Source organism: Homo sapiens, chromosome X (genome assembly GCF_000001405.40).
Source record: "Homo sapiens chromosome X, GRCh38.p14 Primary Assembly".
NCBI classification, from domain to species: domain Eukaryota; kingdom Metazoa; phylum Chordata; class Mammalia; order Primates; family Hominidae; genus Homo; species Homo sapiens.
In genome coordinates, this window is record NC_000023.11 from 70887230 (window position 1) to 70906796 (window position 19567).

Sequence of the window (19567 nt, forward strand, 5' to 3'; positions counted from 1 at the left end):
GCCACCTTGGCCACAGTAGGGAAAAACACCAAGCAGGCTCTTGGGGTCCAGGATTCCAGTCCTTGGCTCTTGGACACCGTCTCTGGACCTAACCTGGGTCAGAGAAGAGCCCACTATCCTGAATGATGAGTCCCAGGCCTGGAAGATTCACCAGAAGCTGACTGAAGAGCCCTTGGGCCTTAAGTAAACATCGGCAGTAGCCTGGCATTACTCCCCATGGGCCTGTAGTGGTGGGCATAGGGATAGACTCCTTTGCCTGGGGAAAAAGGAGGGAAGAGTGGGAAGGACTTTGTCTGGGGGTTTCAACACCAGCTCAACCACAGTAGATTAGTGCACCAGGTAGATGTCTAAGGTTTCCATCTCCAGGTCCCGGCTCCCAGACAGCATCTCTGGACCCACCCAGGGCCTGGGAGAACTCCATACCCTTAAGAGAAAGACAAAAGGCTGGCTGGCTTCACCACCTGCTGGTTGTAGAGCTCTAGGGCCTTGAGTGAACAAAGGTGGTAGCAGCGGGCCTTGGTTACAAAGGTGGTTACAGCAGGCCTTGGGGGAGACCCAGTACTGTGCTGGCTTCAGGTTTGACCCAGTACAGTCTTGGCAGTGGTGGCCATGGGGATGCTTCTGTCACCCCTCCCCCAGATCCAGGCTTCCAGAACAGAGAGGGAGACTCTGGGAGAAAGTAAGAGAAAAGCCTCTGCTGGGTAATCTAGAGAATGCTTCTGGATCTTATGGAAGGCCACCAAGGTGGTATCTCTACGAGTCTGCAAGAAACAAAGCATTACTGTACTTGGGGTGCCCCCTAAAGCAGATACAGCTTAGATCACAACACCAAAGTCTTTTCATATATCTGGAAAGCCTTCCAAAGAAGGACAGGTACAAATAAGCCCAGACAGTAAAGATTGCAATAAAGACCTAACTCTTCAATGCCCAGACACCAAAGAACATCTACTAGCATCAACACCATCCAGGAAAACATGACCTCACCAAATGAACTAAATAAGGCACTAGGGACCAACCTGGAGAAACAAGAGACATGTGACCTTTCAGAGAGATAATTCAAAATAGCTGTGTTGAGGAAACTCAAAGAAATTCAATATAACACAGAGAAGGAATTTAGAATTCTATCAGCTAAATTTAGCAAAGAGATTGAAATACTTTAAATTAATCAAACAGAAATTCTGAACTAAAAATGCAACTAGCATACTGAAGAAAGCATCAGAGTCCTTTAATAGCAAAATTGATCAAGCAAAAGAAAGATTTAGTGAGCTTGAAGACAGGCTGTTTGAAAATACATAGTCAGAGGAGACAAAAGAAAAAAGAATAAAAAACAATGAAGCACACCTGCAGGATCTAGAAAATAGCCACAAAAGAGCAAAGCTAATAGTTATTGGCCTTAAAGATGAGGAAGAGAAAGACATAGGGATAGAAAGTTTATTCAAAGGGATAACAGAGAACTTCCCAAACTTAGAGAAAGATATCAATATCCAAGTACAAAAAGGTTATAGAACACCAAGTAGATTTAACCCAAGAAAACCACCTTAAGGCATGTAACAATAATCAAACCCCCAAAGCTCAAGGATAAAGAAAAGATCCTAAAAGCAGCAAGAGAAAAGAAACAAATCACATGAAATGGAGCTCCAATATGTCTGGCAGCAGACTTTTCAGTGGAAACCTTATAGGCCAGGAGAGACTGGCATGACATATTTAAAGTGCTGTGGGAAAAAAACTTTTACCCTAGAATAGTATATCCAGTGAAAATATCCTTCAAATGTGAAGGAGAAAGACTTTCCCAGACAAACAAAAGCTGAGGGATTTCATCAACACCAGACCTGCCTTACAAGAAATGCTAAAGAGAGGATTTTGATCCTCTCTTATAATAATAATGAGCAATAAAAAATCATCTGGGCCAGGCACAGTGGCTCATCCCTGTAATCCCAGCACTTTGGGAGGCCGAGGTGGGTGGATCACCTGAGCTCAGGAGTTTGAGACGAGCCTGGCCAACATGGTGAAACCCCATCTCTACTAAAAAGAACAAAAATTAGCCAGGAGTGGTGGCAGACATCTGTAATCCCAGCTATTTGGGAGGGTGAGGCAGGAGAATCGCTTGAACCCAGGAGGCGGTGGTTGCAGTGAGCCGAGTCTGCACCATTGCACTCCAGCCTGGGAGACAAGAGTGAGACTCCATCTCAAAAAAAAAAATTATCTTGAGGTACAAACCTCACTGGTAATAGTAAGTACAAAAAAAAAGTAACACTGTTATAACACAATTATTATAACACTGTAACTGTGGTGTGTAAACTACTCTAAGTAGAATGAATAAACAATGAACCAATGAAAAATAACAACTACAACTTTTCCAGAAATAGTACAATAAGATATAAATAAAAACAACAAAAAAGTTAAAAAGCAGGAGGATGAAGTTAAGGCATAAGGTTTTTATTAGTTTTCTTTTTCCCTGTTTGTTTATGCAGAGTGCTAAGTTGTTATCAAGTTAAAATAATGGGTTATAAGATAGTATTTGCAAGACTCGTGGTAACTACAAACCTAAAAATATACAATGAACACACAAAAAATAAAAAGCAAGAAACTAAATCATATCACTAGAGAAAATCACCTTCACTGAAGGAAGACAGGAAGGAAAGAAGGAAGAGAAGACCACAAAACAACCAGAAAATAAATAACAAAATGGCATGAGTAAGTTCTTATCAATAATAACATTTAATGTAAATGGATTAACCTCTCAAATCAAAAGACATAGAGTGGCTAAATTGAGAAAACAAAACCCATTGATCCCTTGCCTACAAGAAACACACTTCACATATAAAGACACACACAGACTGAAAATAAAGGGATGGAAAGATATTCCATGCCAATGGAAACCAAAAAAGAGCAGGAGTACCGATACTTATGTCAGAAAAAACAGATTTCATGAAAAAAACTAAAAAGAGACAAAGGTCATTATATACTGATAAAGAGGTTAATTCAGGATTCCATTCCAAGATGGTCAAATAGGAACAGCTCTGGTCTGCAGCTCCCAACGTGATCGACACAGAAGACGGGTGATTTCTGCATTTCCAACTGAGGTACCTGGTTCATCTCATTGGGACTGGTTGGACAGTGTGTGCAGCCCACGGAGGGTGAGCCAAAGCAGGGCAGGGCATCACCTCACCAAAAAGGGCAAGGGGTCACCCAAAAAGGGCAAGGGATTTCCCTTTCCTAGCCAAGGGAAGCCATGACAGACGGTACCTGGAAAAACGGGACACTCCTGCCCAACTACTCTGCTTTTCCAACGGTCTTAGCAAACAGCACACCAGGAGATTGTGTTCCATGCCTGGCTTGGCAGGTCCCACGACAACAAAGCCTTGATCACTGCTAGGGCAGCAGTTTGAGATCAAACTGCAAGGCAGCAGCCTAGCAGGGGGAGGGGGGTCTGCCATTGCTGAGGCTTGAGTAGGTAAACAAAGCAGCTGGGGAAACTAAAACTCAGCAGAGCCCACCGCAGCTCAGCAAGGCTGGCTGCCTCTGTAGACTCCACCTCTGGGGGCAGGGCAGAGCTGAACAAAAGGCAGCAGAAACTTCTGCACACTTAAACGTCCCTGTCTGACAGCTCTGAAGAGAGCAGTGGTTCTCCCAGCACAGTGTTTGAGCTCAGAGAATGGACAGACTGCCTCCTCAAGTGGGTCCCTGACCCCCGTGTAGCCTAAATGGGAGATGCCTCCCAGTAGGGGCCGACTGACATCTCATACAGGCGGGTGCCCCTCTGGGATGAAGCTTCCAGGGGAAGGATAAGGCAGCAATATTTGCTGTTCTGCAATACTTGCTGTTCTGCAGCCTCTGCTACTGATACCCAGGCAAACAGGGTCTGGAGTGGACCTCCAGCAAACTCCAACAGACCTGCAGCTGAGGGACCTGACTGGTAGAAGGAAAACTAGCAAACAGAAAGGAATAGCATCAACATCAACAAAAAGGACATCTACACCAAAACCCCATTTGTAGGTCACCAACATCAAAGACCAAAGGTAGATAAAACCACAAAGATGGGGAGAAACCAGAGCAGACAAGCTGAAAATTCTAAAAACCAGAGTGCCTCTCCTCCTCCAAAGGATCGCAGCTCCTCACCAACAATGGAACAAAGCTGGATGGAGAATGACTTTGACGAGCTGACAGAAGTAGACTTCAAAAGGTCAGTAATAACAAACTTCTCCAAGCTAAAGGAGGATGTTCAAACCCATCGCAAGGAAGCTAAAAACCTTGAAAAAAAGATTAGATGAATGGCTAACTAGAATAAACTGTGTAGAGAAGACCTTAAGTGACCTGATGGAGCTGAAAACATGGCACGAGAACTACGTGATGCATGCACAAGCTTCAATAGCCGATCCGATCAAGTAGAAGAAAGGGTATCAGTGATTGAAGATCAAATTAATGAAATAAAGCAAGAAAAAAAGGTTAGAGAAAAAAGAGTGAAAAGGAATGAACAAAGCCTCCAAGAAATATGGGACTATGTGAAAAGATCCAACTTACGATTGATTGGTGTACCTGAAAGTGATGGGGAGAAAGGAACCAAGTTGGAAAACACACTTCAGGATATTACCCAGGAGAACTTCCCCAACCTAGCAAGGCAGCCCAACATTCAAATTCAGAAAATATGGAAAACACTACTAAGATAGTCCTTGAGAAGAGCAACATCAAGACACACAATCGTCAGATTCTCCAAGGTTGAAACGAAGGAAAACATGTTAAGGGCAGCCAGAGAGAAAGATCAGGTTACCCACAAAGGGAAGCCCATCAGAATAACAGTGGATCTCTCTACAGAAACCCTACAAGCCAGAAGAGAGTGGGGGCCAATATTCAACATTCTTAAAGAAAATAATTTTCAACCCAGAATTTCATATCCAGCCAAAATAAGCTTCATAAGCAAAAATAAATAAATAAATAAAAATAAATAAAATCCTTTCCAGACAAGCAAATGCTGAGGGATTTTGTCACCACCGGGCCTGCCTTACAAGAGCTCCTGAAGGAAGCACTAAATATGGAAAGGAAAAACTGGTACCAGCCACTGCAAAAACACACCAAAATATAAAGACCAACAACACTATGAAGAAACTGCATTAACTAATGAGCAAAATAACCAGATAGCATCATGTTGACAGGATCAAATTCACACATAACAATGTTAACCTTAAATGTAAATGGGCTAAATGCCCCAATTAAAAGACACAGACTAGCCAGGCGCAGTGGCTCACGCCTGTAATCCCAGCACTTTGGGAGGCTGAGGCGGGTGGATCAAGAGGTCAGGAGTTCAAGACCAGCTGGGCCAACATAGTGAAACCCTGTCTCTACTAAAAATACAAAAAATTGCTGGGCGTGGTGGCACACGTCTGTAATCCCAGCTACTTGGGAGGCTGAGGCAATAGAATCCCTTGAACCTGGGAGGCGGAGGTTGCAGTGAGATGAGATCGACCCACTGCACTCCAGCCTGGGAGACAAAGCAAGACTTAGTCTCAAAAAAAAAAAAAGACACATACTGGCAAATTGGATAAAGAGTCAAGACCCATCACTGTGCTGTATTCAGGAGATCAATCTCACGTGCAAAGACACACAGAAGCTCAAAATAAAGGGATGGAGGGTTATTTACCAAGCAAATGGAAAGCAAAAAAAAAGCAGGGGTTGCAATCCTAGTCTCTGATAAAACACACTTTAAACCAACAAAGATCAAAAAAGATGAGGGCATTACATAATGGTAAAAAGATCAATACAACAAGAAGAGCTAACTATCCTAAATATATATGCACCCAATACAGGAGCACCCAGATTCATAAAGGAAGTTGTTAGAGACCTACAAAGAGACTTAGACTCCCACACAATAATAGTGGGAGACTTCAACACCCCACTGTCAATATTAGACAGATCAACGAGACAGAAAATTAACAAGGATATTCAGGACTTGAACTCAACTCTAGACCAAGTGGAGCTAATAGACATCTACAGAACACTCCACCCCAAATCAACAGAATATACATTCTTCTCGGCACCACATAGCACTTATTCTAAAATTGACCACATAATTGGAAGTAAAATACTCCTCAGCAAATGCAAAAGAACGGAAATCATAACAAAAGAAAGGAAATCATAACAAACAGTCTCTCAGAACACAGTGCAATCAAATTAGAACTCAGGGTTAAGAAACTCACTCAAAACCACACAACTATATGGAAATTGAACAACCTGCTCCTGAATGACTACTGGGTAATAACGAAATTAAGGCAGAAATAATGAAGTTGTTTGAAACCAATGAGAGCAAAGAGACAACATACCAGGGTTGTTGTGCTGGGACACAGCTAAAGCAGTGTTAAGTGGGAAATTTATAGTACTAAGTGCCCACATCGGAAAGCTGGATAGATCTGAAATTGACACCCAAACATCACAATTAAAAGAACTAGAGAAGCAAGAGCAAACAAATTCAAAAGCCACCAGAAGACAAGAAATAACTAAGATCAGAGCAGAACTGAAGGAGATAGAGACACAAAAAACCCTTCAAAAAATCATTGAGTCCAGGAGCTGGTTTTTTGAAAAGATTAACAGAATAGATAGACCACTAGCTAGACTAATAAAGAAGAAAAGAGAGAAGAATCAAATAGATAATAAAAAATTATAAAGAGGCTATCACCACTGGTCCCACAGAAATACAAATTACCATCAGAGAATACAATAAACATCTCTACACAAATAAACTAGAAAATCTAGAAGAAATGGATGAATTCCTGCACACATACACCTCCCAAGACTAAATCAGGAAGAAGTCAAATCCCTGAATAGACCAATAACAAGTTCTGAAATTGAGGCAGTAATTAATAGCCTAGCAACCAAAAAAATCCCAGGACCAGACAGATTCACAGCTGAATTCTACCAGAGGTACAAAGAGGAGCTGGTACCATTCCTTCCGAAACTATTCCAAACAATAGAAAAAGAGAGACTACTCCCTAACTCATTTTATGAGGCCAGCATCATCCTGATACCAAAACCTGGCAGAGACACACACACGAAAAAAGAAAATTTCAGGCCAATATCACTGATGAACACTGATGCAAAAATCCTTAATAAAATATTGGTAAACCAGGCCAGGCGCAGTGGCTCACACCTGTAATCCCAGCACTTTGGGAGGCCAAGGCAAGCAGATCATGAGGTCAAGAGATCGAGACCATCCTGGCCAACCTGGTGAAGCCCCGTCTCTACTAAGAATACAAAAATCAGCTAGGCGTGGTGGCGCATGCCTGTAGTCCCAGCTACTCGGGAGGCTGAGGCAGGAGAATCACTTGAACCCGGGAGGAAGAGGTTGCAGTGAGCCAAGATTGCGCCACTGCCCTCTAGCCTGGCGACAGAGCGAGACTCCGTCTAAAAAAAAAAAAAAATACTGGCAAACCAAATCCAGCAGCACATCAAAAAGGCTTATCCACCACGATCAAGTCGGCTTCATCCCGGGGATGCAAGGCTGGTTCAACATACGCAAATCGATAAACATAATCCATCACATAAACAGAACCAATGACAGAAAGCACATGATTATCTCAATAGATGCAGAAAAAGCCTTTAATAAAATTCAACAGCCCTTCATGCTAAAAACTCTCAATAAACTAGGTATTGATGGAACATATCTCAAAATAATAAGAGCTATTTATGACAACCCACAGTCAATATCATACTGAATGGGTAAAAGCTGGAAGCATTCCCTTTGAAAACTGGCACAAGACAAGGATGCCCTTTCTCACCACTCCTATTCAACATAGTGTTGGAAGTTCTGGCCAGGTCAATGAGGCAAGAAAAAGAAATTAGTGGTATTCAAATAGGAAGAGAGGAAGCCAAATTATCTCTGTTTGCAGATGACATGATTGTATATTTAGACAACCCCATCATCTCAGCCCAAATACTCCTTAAGGTGATAAGCAACTTCAGCATATAAAATCAATGTGCAAAAATCACAAGCATTCCTATATACCAATAATAGACAAGCAGAGAACCAAATCATGAGTGAAATCCCATTCACAATTGCTACAAAAAGAATAAAATATCTAGGAATACAACTTACAAGGAATGTGAAGGATCTCTTCAAGGAGAACTACAAACCACTGCTCAAGGAAATAAGCGGGGACACAAACAAATGGAAAAAAATTCCATGCTCATGGATAAGAAGAATAAATATCATGAAAATGGGCATACTGACCTAAGTAATTTATAGATTCAATGCTATTCCTACTAAGCTATCATTGACTTTCTTTGCAGAATTAGAAAAACTACTTTAAATTTCATATGGAACCAAAAAAGAGCCTGTATAGCCAAGACAATCCTAAGCAAAAAGAACAAAGCTGGAGGCATCACGCTGTCTTACCTCAAATTATACTAATAGGCTACAATAACCAAAACAGCATGGTACTGGTACCAAAACAGATATATAGACCAATGGAACAGAACAGAAGCTTCAGAAATAACACCACACATCTACAACCATCTGATCTTCAACAAACTTGACAAAAGCAAGCAATGGGGAAAGGATTCCCTATTTAATAAATGGTGCCAGGAAAACTGGCTAGCCATACGCAGAAAACAGAAACCGGATCCCTTCCCTACACCTTATACAAAAATTAACTCAAGATGGATTAAAGACTTAAATGTAAAACCTAAAACCATAAAAGCCCTAGAAGAAAACCTACACAATACCACTCAGGACATGGGCATGGGCAAAGACTTCATGACTAAAACACCAAAGCAATGGCAAGAAAAGCCAAAATTGACAAATTGAATCTAATTAAACTAAAGAGTTTCTGCACAGCCAAAGAAACTACCATCAGAGTGAACAGGCAACCTACAGAATTGGGAGAAAATTTTTGCAATCTATCCATCCGACAAAGGTCTAATATCCAGAATCTACAAGGACCTTAAACAAATTTACAAGAAAAAAACAACCCCATCAAAAAGTGGGCAAAGGATATAAACAGACACTTCTCAAAAGAAGACATTTATGCGGCCAGCAAACATATGAAAAAAAGTTAATCATCACTGGTCATTAGAGAAATGCAAATGAAAACCACAATGAGATACCATCTCACACCAGCTAGAATGGCGATTATTAAAAAGTCAGGAAACAACAGATGCTGGAGAGGATGCAGAGAAATAGGTACACTTTTACACTGTTGGTGGGAGTGTAAATTAGTTCAACCATTGTGGAAGACAATGTGGCAATTCCTCAAGGATCTAGAACCAGAAATACCATTTGACCCAGCAATCCCATTAGTGATTATACACCCAAAGGGTTATAAATCATGCTGCTATAAAGCCACAGGCACATGTATGTTTACTGCAGCACTATTTACAATAGCGAAGACTTGGAACCAACCCAAACGCCCATCAATGATAGAATGGATAAAGAAAATGTAGCACATCTACACCATGGAATACTATGCAGTCATAAAAAAAGAATGAGTTCATGTCCTTTGCAGGGACATGGATGAAGCTGGAAACCATCATTCTCAGCAAACTAACACAGGAACAGAAAACCAAACACCACATGTTCTCACTCATAAGTAGGAGTTAAGCATGAGAACACATGGACACAGGGAGGGGAACATCACACACCAGGGCCCATCAGGTGGTGGGGGCCAAAGGGAGGGAGAGCCTTAGGACAAATACTTGAGGTCAGGAGTTCAAGACCAGCCTGGCCAACGTGGTGAAACCCCATCTCTACTAAAAATACAAAAAAAAATAGCCAGATGTGGTGGCGTGCACCTGCAGTCCCAGCTACTCAGGAGGCTGAGGCAAGAGGATCGCTTGAACCCAAGAAGCAGAGGTTGTAGTGAGCCGAGATCACGACACTGCACTCTAGCCTGGGCAACAGAGTAAGACTCCGTCTCAAAAATAGATATATATTATATATAACATATATATTTTTATATATATGTTATATATAATATATGTTATATATTATATATATATAACATATATATATGTTTTATATATATATACAGAGAGTAACTCTTGGTGATAGTGTTGCTATCCTTGTGGGCAATATGAATGAAACAGACAAGAGTTGGCTTGGCACAGTGGCTCATGCCTGTAATCCCAACACTTTGGGAGGCCGAGGCAGGCAGATCACGAGGTCAGGAGTTCGAAAGCAGCCTGGCCAATATGGTAAAACCCCGTCTCTACTAAAAATACAAAAATTAGCTGGGCGTAGTGGCATGCACCTGTAGTCCCAGCTACTTGGGAGGCTGAGGCAGAAGAATCGCTTGAACACAGGAGGCGGAGGTTGCAGTGAGCCGAGATCATGCCACTGCACTCCAGCCTGGACAACAGAGACAGACTCCATCTAAGGAAAGAAAGAAAGAAAAAAGGAAGGAAGGAAGGAAGGAAGGAAGGAAGGAAGGAAGGAAGGAAGGAAGGAAGGAAAACAAAGAAAGAAAAAGAAAGAAAGAAAGAAAGAAAGAAAGAAAGAAAGAAAGAAAGAAAGAAAGAAAGAAAAGAGACAAGAGTTATTTTATTCAATCATTCAATAAAACTTTAATGATAACCAAGTACTTTGTTAAGCACCAAAGATATGACATGAACAAGACACAGTCTCATACATGCATCAATGAACCAACTTTTTAAAGTTCTAAATCACCTTAAAATTCCAGTAATACACTCTAATTTTATAATTGATTAAAATAAAGCATGGAGAAGTTAACTAACTTGGCCAAGATCAAAGCTATTAGCAACTCAGCCCTGAACAGAATCCAAGGAAACTGCACCCTTTCTGCTTTGGCTGATGTCTACGTGTCTCCTTGTAAAATTTAGTTCAACAAACATTTCTTGAATGCCTGGTGTCTTGCTAGGAATATAAAGATGAGTGAAGCAGTCTATGCCATCATGAGGATTGCACTACCAAAGGTAATTACATTCTAAAAATTATAGTAGTAATCAGTCATGAGATCAAAGTAGGATGAAGGGAAAAAATTAAAAATAAATAAAAATTTAAAAATTATAATATAATGTAATAAGTGCTGTGAGTGGAAGACGCTACAGCAATGTAAAAGGATTGCATAAATGCCCATTTGAGGGATGGAATATAGGAATAGCAGGATAAGCTTCACTGAAGTGTTACTTGAGGTGGGGCTGAAGGATGAGTTAGAGATTTCCAGGCAGATACTGAGGGAAAGGAACACGCCAGAGGGCAAAGCACAGAGGTGTGAAAAAGCACAATGAATTCAAACAAGCATAAGCAGTTATGTATGGCTGGAGAAAACACCATTAGAAAGGTATACAGGGGCCAGAACTTGGAAGACACTGTATGGCATACTAAGAAAGTTCAATTCTGTGGGTCACTCAATGTCTTTATTTTATAAACTGTATTTTTTTTTTTTTTTTGAGATGGAGTCTCACTCTGTCGGCCAGGCTGGAGTGCAGTGGCGCAATCTCAGCTCACTGCAAGCTCCGCCTCCCGGGTTCACGCCATTCTCCTGCCTCAGCCTCCCGAGTAGCTGGGACTACAGGTGCCCGCCAGCACACTCAGCTAATTTTTTGTATTTTTAGTAGAGACGGGGTTTCACAGTGTTAGCCAGGATGGTCTCGATCTCCTGACCTCATGATCCACCAGCCTCGGCCTCCCAAAGTGCTGGGATTACAGGCGTGAGCCACGGCACCCGGCCATAAACTGTACTATTCCCCCTAATAGGTGCATACCAGGTGGCATCAGTGATTATCTCACTGATTATCTGTAAGATTTCTGTACAGGCTGTAAAATAAGTATGCTCATGATTCTAAACTATGTGGCCCTGTCTTGGGATATTTCCTAATAACTCTGTCATTCTTAATCTGAGGATCCCATTGTTGTATTTAAAGGAAAAGATAGTTCAGGGAAGATTACAAATAAAGTCCTTTGAGATTCAATGAAAGCCAATTATCTTGACTGAGTTTTACTACTAAACTTTTTAGTCTAGATCTGCACTCTCTAATATGGTAGCAATATATGGCTACTGAGCACTTAAAATGTGGCTAGTTCAAATTGGGATGTGCTTTAATTGTAAAATACACATGGGTTTCAAAGACTTAGTTTAAAATAAGAAAGTAAAATATCTCAGCAATTTTGTATACTGATTATATGCTGGAACAAAAATGTATGAATATGCTGGGCTATAGCATTAAAATTATTATTATATTAAAAATTAATTTCACCTATTTATTTTTACTTTTTAAACGTGATTACTAGAAAATTTTAAGTTACATTTCTAACTCACATTATATTTCTACTGGACAGGGCTGGTATTGAGTATACATTGGAACTATATTCTGAAGACTTGATGAAACAAATTAGCTAATGTCTACCTCCCTAACAATCATCATAAATATAATAGAAAAAGAAAATATAGAGGCTGGGCACCGTGGCTCACACCTGTAATCCCAGCACCTCCTGTAATCTGGAGGCCGAGGCAAGCAGATCACTTGAGCTCAGGAGTTCAAGACCAGCCTGGGCAACATGGCAAAATCCAGTCTTTACAAAACATACAAATATTAGCCAGGCGTGGTGGTGCATACCTATACGTTCATGCCACTGCACTCCAGCCTGGGTGACAAAGAGAGGTCCTGTATTAAAAAAAAAAAAAAAAAAAAAAAAAGGACCAGGTGTGGTGGCTCATGCCTGTAATCTCAGCATTTTGGGAGGCTGAGGCAGGCAGCTCACCTGAGGTCAGGAGTTTCACCATGTTGGCCAGAACAGCCTGGCCAACATGGTGAAACCCGGTCTCTACTAAAAATATTTTTTTAAAAATAGCCAGGAGTGGTGGTGCACGCCTGTAATCCCAGCTACTTGGGAGGCTGAGGCACGAGAATCACTTAAACTTGGGAGGCAGAGGTTGCAATGAGCCGAGATGGTGCAACTGCACTCCAGCCTGGGCAACAGAGTGAGGCTCTGTCTCAAAACAAACAAAAAATTAATTAATTAATTAGTTAAAATAAAAATACAAAAATTAGCCAAGTGTGATGGTGGGTGCCTGTAATCCCAGCTACTTGGGAGGCTGAGGCAGGAGAATCGCTTGAACCCGGGAGGCGGAGGTTGCAGGGTCACAGTGAACAGAGATCGTGCCACTGCGCTCCAGCCTGGGCTACAGAGGGAGACTCTATCTCAAAAAAAAAAAAAAAAAAAGAAGAAGAAGAAGAAAATTGAAAATTTTCTTGAAACAAATGATAATGGAAACACAGCATACCAAAACGTATGGGATACAGAGTGAAGTTTATCACTATGAGTGCCTACATCAAAAAAGAGGAAAAACTCCGAACAACCTAATGATGCATCTTAAACAACTAGAAAAGCAAAAGCAAACCAAACCCAAAGTTAGTTGAAGAAAAGAAATAATAAAGACCAGAATAGAAATAAACGAAATTAAAATGAAAATATATATATATAAAAGATCAGTGAAGCCCAGTAGTGGTGACTCATGCCTATAATCCCAGCAGTTTGGGAGGCTGAGGTGGGTGGATCACTTGAGGCCAGGAGTTCGAGAGCAGCCTGGCCATCACAGCAAAACCCTGTCTCTACTAAAAATACAGAAATTAGCCTGGCATGCCTGCAGTCATAGCTACTCAGGAGGCTGAAGCACAAGAATTGCTTGCGCCTGGGAGGTGGAGGTTGCAGTGAGCTGAGATTATGCCACTGCACTCCAGCCTGGGCAATGGAGTGAGACTCTGCCTCAAAAAAAGAAAGAAAGAAAAATCTAGAAAAAAGGCCAGTAGGCAGGCAGATCGCTTGAGCTCAGGAGCTCAGGAGACCAGCCTGGGAAACATGGTGAAACCCTGTCTCTACCAAAAATACAAAAATTAGTCAGGAATGGTGGCGCATGCCTATATTCCCTCAGGAAACTGAGGCGGGAGGATCGCTTGAACCTAGGAGGATAGCGCCACTGCACTACAGCCTGGCAATAGAGTGAGACCTTGTCTAAATAAATAAATAAATACTTAAAAAAGACTGAGGGATTTGGGGGGCAAAAAGTTCAAAATGAATAACTAGCGTGGTATGAAAGAAAGAAAAAGCAAATTCAGTCTTAGCTATATTATTATCTAAAGAGAAAAATCATCAGTCCTAAATCTAAAGAGAAAGATTACAGGCGTGCATCACTTAAGGACAGGGATACATTCCAGAAATGTGTAATTTGGTGATTTTTGTCATTGTCCCAACATCATAGAGCAGTGGTCCTCAACCTTCTTGGCACCAGGGACCAGTTTTGTAGAAGACAATTTTTCCACGGATGGTGGGGGGATGGTTTCGGGATGAAACTGTTCTACCTCAGATCAACAGGCATTAGTTAGATTTTCATAAGGAGCATGCAACCTAGATCCCTCGTGTGGGCAGTTCAGGCTCCTGTGAGAATCTAATGCCACTGGCCACTGATCTGACAGGAGGCGGAGCTCAGGCGGTAATGCTTGCTGGCCCAGGGCTCATCTCCTGCTGTGCAGCCAGGTTCCTAACAGGCCAGAGACAGGTAATGGTCCGTGGCCCAGGGGTTGAGGACCCCGTCATAGAGTGTACTTACACAAGATGGTATAGCCTACTACACATCTAGGCTATATGGTATAGCCTATTGCTTCTAGGCTACAAACCTATAACTCATGTTACTGTAGTGAATACTGCAGGCAACTGTAACACAATGATAAGTATTTGTGTATTTAAACATATCTAAACCTAGAAAAGGTAAGTAAAAATATAAAAGATTAAAAATGACTGGGTACGGTGGCTCACAGCTGTAATCCTAGCACTTCGGGACACCGAGGAAGGAGGATCGCTTGAGCCCAGGAGTTCGAAACCAACCTGGGCAACATAGGGAGATCCCGTCTCCACAGAAAAATTAAAAATTATCTGGGCATGGTGGTGCATGCCTGTGATTCCCGGCTACTCAAGATGTTGAGGTGGGAGGATTACTTGGGCCCAGGAGGTAGAAGCTGTGGTGAGCCACGATCACACCACTGCACACCAGCCTGGGTGAGAGAGTGAGACCCTACCTCAAATAACATAATAATAAATTTTTATAAGATAAAAAAAGGTACACCTGTATAGGGCACTTACCATGAGTGGAGCTTGCAGACCTGGAAGTTGCTCTGGGTGAGTCAGTGAGTGAGTGGTGAATATATGTGAAGGTCTAGGACATTACTGTACACTACTGTAGACTTTATAAACTCTGCACACTTAGGCTACACTCAGTTTATAAAAGAATATGTTTCTTTCTCCAATAATAAATTTACCTTAGCTTACTGTAACTTTTTTACTTTATAAGCTTTGTTTGTTTGTTTGTTTGAGATGGGGTCTCACTCTGTCACTGGGGCTGCAATGCAGTGGTGCGATCTCGGCTCACTGCAACCTCTGCCTCCCAGGCTCAAGCAATCCTCCCACCTCAACCTATGGAGTAGCTGGGACCACAGAGTAGCTGGAACCACAGGCACGTGCCACCATGCCATGATAATTTTTTGTATTTTTGGTAGAGACAGGGTTTCACCATGATACCCAGGCCAGTCTCGAACTCCTGAGCTCAAGTGATCTGCCCGCCTCAACCTCCCAAAGTACAAACTTTTTAATTATTTTTAACTTTTTAACGCTTTTGTAGTAACACTTAGCTTAAAGCACAAACATTATACAGCTGTACAAAAATATTTTCTTTCTTTATATCCCTATTCTATAAGCTTTTTTCTGTTAACATTATTAATTTTACTTTTTAAACTTTTTGTTAAAAACTAAGACACAAACACATACATTATTAGCCTAGGCCTACACAGGCTCAGGATCATCACTATCACTGTCTTCCACCTCCACGTTTTGTCCCACTGGAAGTTCTTCAGGGGCAATAAAATGCATGGACCTGTCACCTACTGCGATAATAGTGCCTTCTGGAATACCTCCTGAAGGAACTGCCTGAGGCCATTTTACAGTTAACTTTATTTTTTATAAATAGAAGGAGTACACTCTAAGATGATGATAAAAAAATAGTATAAGATAGCATAGTATGGTATAGTGAATACATAAACCAGTAGCATAGTCATTTATTATCACCATCAAGTATTATGTACTGTACATAAATGTACGTGCTATAGTTTTAAACAACTGGCAGCACAGTAGATTTGTTTACACCAGCATCACCACAAACACATGAATAAAGCATTGCTCTACAACTTTATAACAGCTCTGACATCACTAGGGGATAGGAACTTTTCAGCTCCATTAAAATCTTCTGGGACCACTGTTGTATATGCTGTCCTTTATTGACTGAAATGTCATTATGCAGCACATGACTGTATTTTATGCTGATCATATCAAACATAGAGAATTGTGTTCTATTCTGGGTACCACACTTTAAGAAATAACACGAAAAGGATAGAGCATGTTTAAAGGATAGCACACAAAATGATAAGGGGACTAGAAACCAGGTAATATCAGGAATGTTTGAACAAACTGAGAATGCTCAATCTGAAGACACTTTCCGGGGTACAAGATAAGTTATCTTCAAATAGTTGAAGATGACATGCAGAAAAGGAGTTACATTTATTTAGCCCCAGTGGGTGTAATTATCTAGACAAATTTCTATTCCTTCCTGGTCTTGAATTTTTTTTTTAAGACAGGATCTCACTCTGTCACCCAAGCTGGAGCAATCAAGGCTCACTGCAGGCTCCACCTCCTAGGCTCAAGCGATCCTCCCACCTCTGGCTCCTGAGACTACTACAGGCATGCAACACCACATCCAGCTTTTTTTTTTTTTTTTTTTTTTTTGGTGAAGACAGGGTCTCTGTTGCCCAGGCTGGTCTCAAACTCATGGGCTCAAGTATTCCTCCCGCCTCAGCCTCCCAAAGTGCTGCGATTACAGGCGTGAGCCACCAGGCCTGGCCTTGGTCTTGAAAATTTATTGAGATTGGTGATACAAAAAAGACTGGTGTTATGTCAATTCTCCCTAAGAAGGAATGAACTATAGCCATTGCTAAAAGCCATTGGATAGGCTTTTATGCTCCATTTTTATAAAACTTGACTAAAAAGTTTATGTGTGCATAAGAGAAAACTCAAACAGCCAGTAAATCTATGAAAGTACACCAACTTCACTAGTTATCAGGAAAATATAAGTCAAAACAACACCCATGTAAGATGATAACATTTGGGAAAATGAAACTGCCTGAAGAGTATATGGGAACTCTCTGCACTATCTCTGCAACTTTTCTGTAAATCTAAAATTATTCCAAAGTAAAATGGTAAATAAAAATGACAACAGTCTTCAAAATTGTAAAATTTTAAAAGTCTGACAATATCAAATATTAGTAAGGATATGGGGAAAAGGGAGTTTGAATTAAGACCATTTTGGACAGCAATTTGGCAATATCTATAAAGTTAAAGATGCTCATAGCTTTTGACTCAGCAGTTACACTCCCAAATGTAAACTCTAGAACTGCACTGTCCAATATGGTAGCCACTAGCCACATGTGACTATTGAGCACTTGAAATGTGGCTGATCCAAAATGAGATGTGCTTTAAGTATAAAATACATGCCAGACTTCAAAGACTTTGTACCAAAAAATGTAGAATGTAAAATAACTTATTAATAATTTGTATATTGATTATGTTATAATAACATTTTTGATACACTGAGTTAAAAAAATTAGATCATTAAAATTATTTTCATCTGTTTAAACATTTTTAATATGACTACTAGAAAATATAAAATTTTTTGTTTTTGCACCATGTCAGTTGGACGGCACTGCCCTAGAGCCTCACCTACCAGTAGCTCAAGAAATAAATCAAGGCCGGGTGCAGTGGCTCAAGGCCAGGAGCAGTGGCTCTCACCTGTAATCCTAGCACTTTGGGAGGCCGAGGCGGGCAGATTGCCTGAGCTCAGGAGTTCCAGACCAGCCTGGGCAACACAGCGAAACCCCATCTCTACTAAACTACAAAAAATTAGCCAGGCGTGGCGGCATGCACCTGTAGCCCCAGCTACGCGGGAGGCTGAGTCGGAAGAATTGCTTGAACCCGGGAGGCGTGGAAGTTGCAGTGAGCCGAGATCGTGCCACTACACTCCAGCCTGGACGACAGAGTGAGACTCTGTCTCAAAAGAAAAAAAAAATCAGTCAATGTATTGAGGTAGTGAGTCATACCCAGCATTTCTTTTCAGTCAGACCTTTGCTGAATACCCAGCATTTTTTTAATGAGAAAAATAGAATAGAAAATATCATAGTGTACTGCATGTAATGAGGATAAAATTTTGTTTTATTAAACTTTTGACACAGTATGTATGTACTGGGATGTAATCAAAACATTTTCTTGCCATGAGTGGTAGTCAAAGATGTTTTTGAAAGTTTCTGTTAAACTCTCAGAAACACAGTGTTCGTTGTAGCATTGTTGTTTTTAACAGCAAATATTTGAAACCATTTTTATGTCCAACAAAGGAGACTGAATGAATAAATTGTGGTACATTTAGGTTCAATGAAATACTACTCATCAGCAGTGGAAATAAATGAACTAAAAGTATTCATATGGGTAAATATTAAAAACACAGCCTGGCACAGTGACTCACGCCTGTAATCCTAAGACTTTGGGAGGCTGAGGCAGGCAGATCACCTGAGGTCAGGAGTTTGAGACCAGCCTGGCCAACATGGTGAAACCCCGTTTCTACTAAAAATACAAAAAATTAGCCGGGCATGGTGGCACGTGCCTGTAATCCCAGCTACTCGAGAGGCTGAGGCAGGAGAATCGCTTGAACCTGGAAGGCAGAGGTTGCAGTGAGCCGAGGTCACACCATTGCACTCCAGCTTGGGCAACAAGAGCAAAACTCTGTCTCAAAAAAAAAAAAAAAAAAAAAAAAAAAAAAAAAAAAAATATATATATATATATATATATATATATATATATATATATATATCACAATGCTGAGCAAAAAAAGGAAAAAAGAAGACAAGCTGCAGGAAAAAGAAATATAAAATAACTATTTATATAAAATTTAAAAAGAAAAATGGTACATGTAATCTTTTAGTTCTTTGAAATATCTGAAGCATATGGCAAGCTTAAGATTTGACAAAACTCAGTGGTAGGTACACAGATGTTCATTATATTATTTTCTATACTTTTCTGTGTGATTCAAATATTTATGTAAATACAAAGTCTCAAATATTATCAACTTAAGAGTCATAATCCCTATTCCATCTTTATACCTTTAAGATATTTTATCCTAATTTAAAACTTAAAGTAGATAGTAGCAGGCTTTATTGTTATTGTTTTAAAATAACAAATATTGGCCTGGCATGGTGGCTCACACCTGTAATCCCAGCACTTTGGGAGGCCGAGGCAGGTGTATCAACTGAAGTCAGGAGTTCGAGACCAGCTTGACCGACATGGTGAAACCCTGTCTCTACTAAATGCAAAAAATTAGCCAGGCATGGTGGCGCGGGCCTGTAGTCCCAGCTACTTGGGAGGCTGAGGCAGAAGAATCGCTTGAACTCAGGAGGCAGAGGTTGCAGTGAGCCAAGATGGCACCACTGCACTCCAGCCTGGGCAACAAGAGCAAAACTGTCTCAACAAACAAAC

At 40.9% G+C, this 19567-nt stretch overlaps 1 protein-coding gene across 4 annotated transcripts in view; it reads right to left on the reverse strand.

Annotated features, from left to right (window-relative positions):
• TEX11 (testis expressed 11) overlaps positions 1-19567 on the reverse strand; it is a 397485-nt gene that overhangs the window by 376003 nt on the left and 1915 nt on the right. Inside the window, exon 3 of one of the 4 annotated variants that reach the window (NM_001003811.2) lies at positions 10236-10357. The exons of the other annotated variants lie outside the window; for them this stretch is intronic. Coding sequence (NP_001003811.1) covers positions 10236-10317 — 82 coding nt within the window. The 5' untranslated portion in view covers positions 10318-10357. The remainder of the gene's footprint in view (positions 1-10235; positions 10358-19567) is intronic. 4 annotated transcript variants of the gene reach the window in all.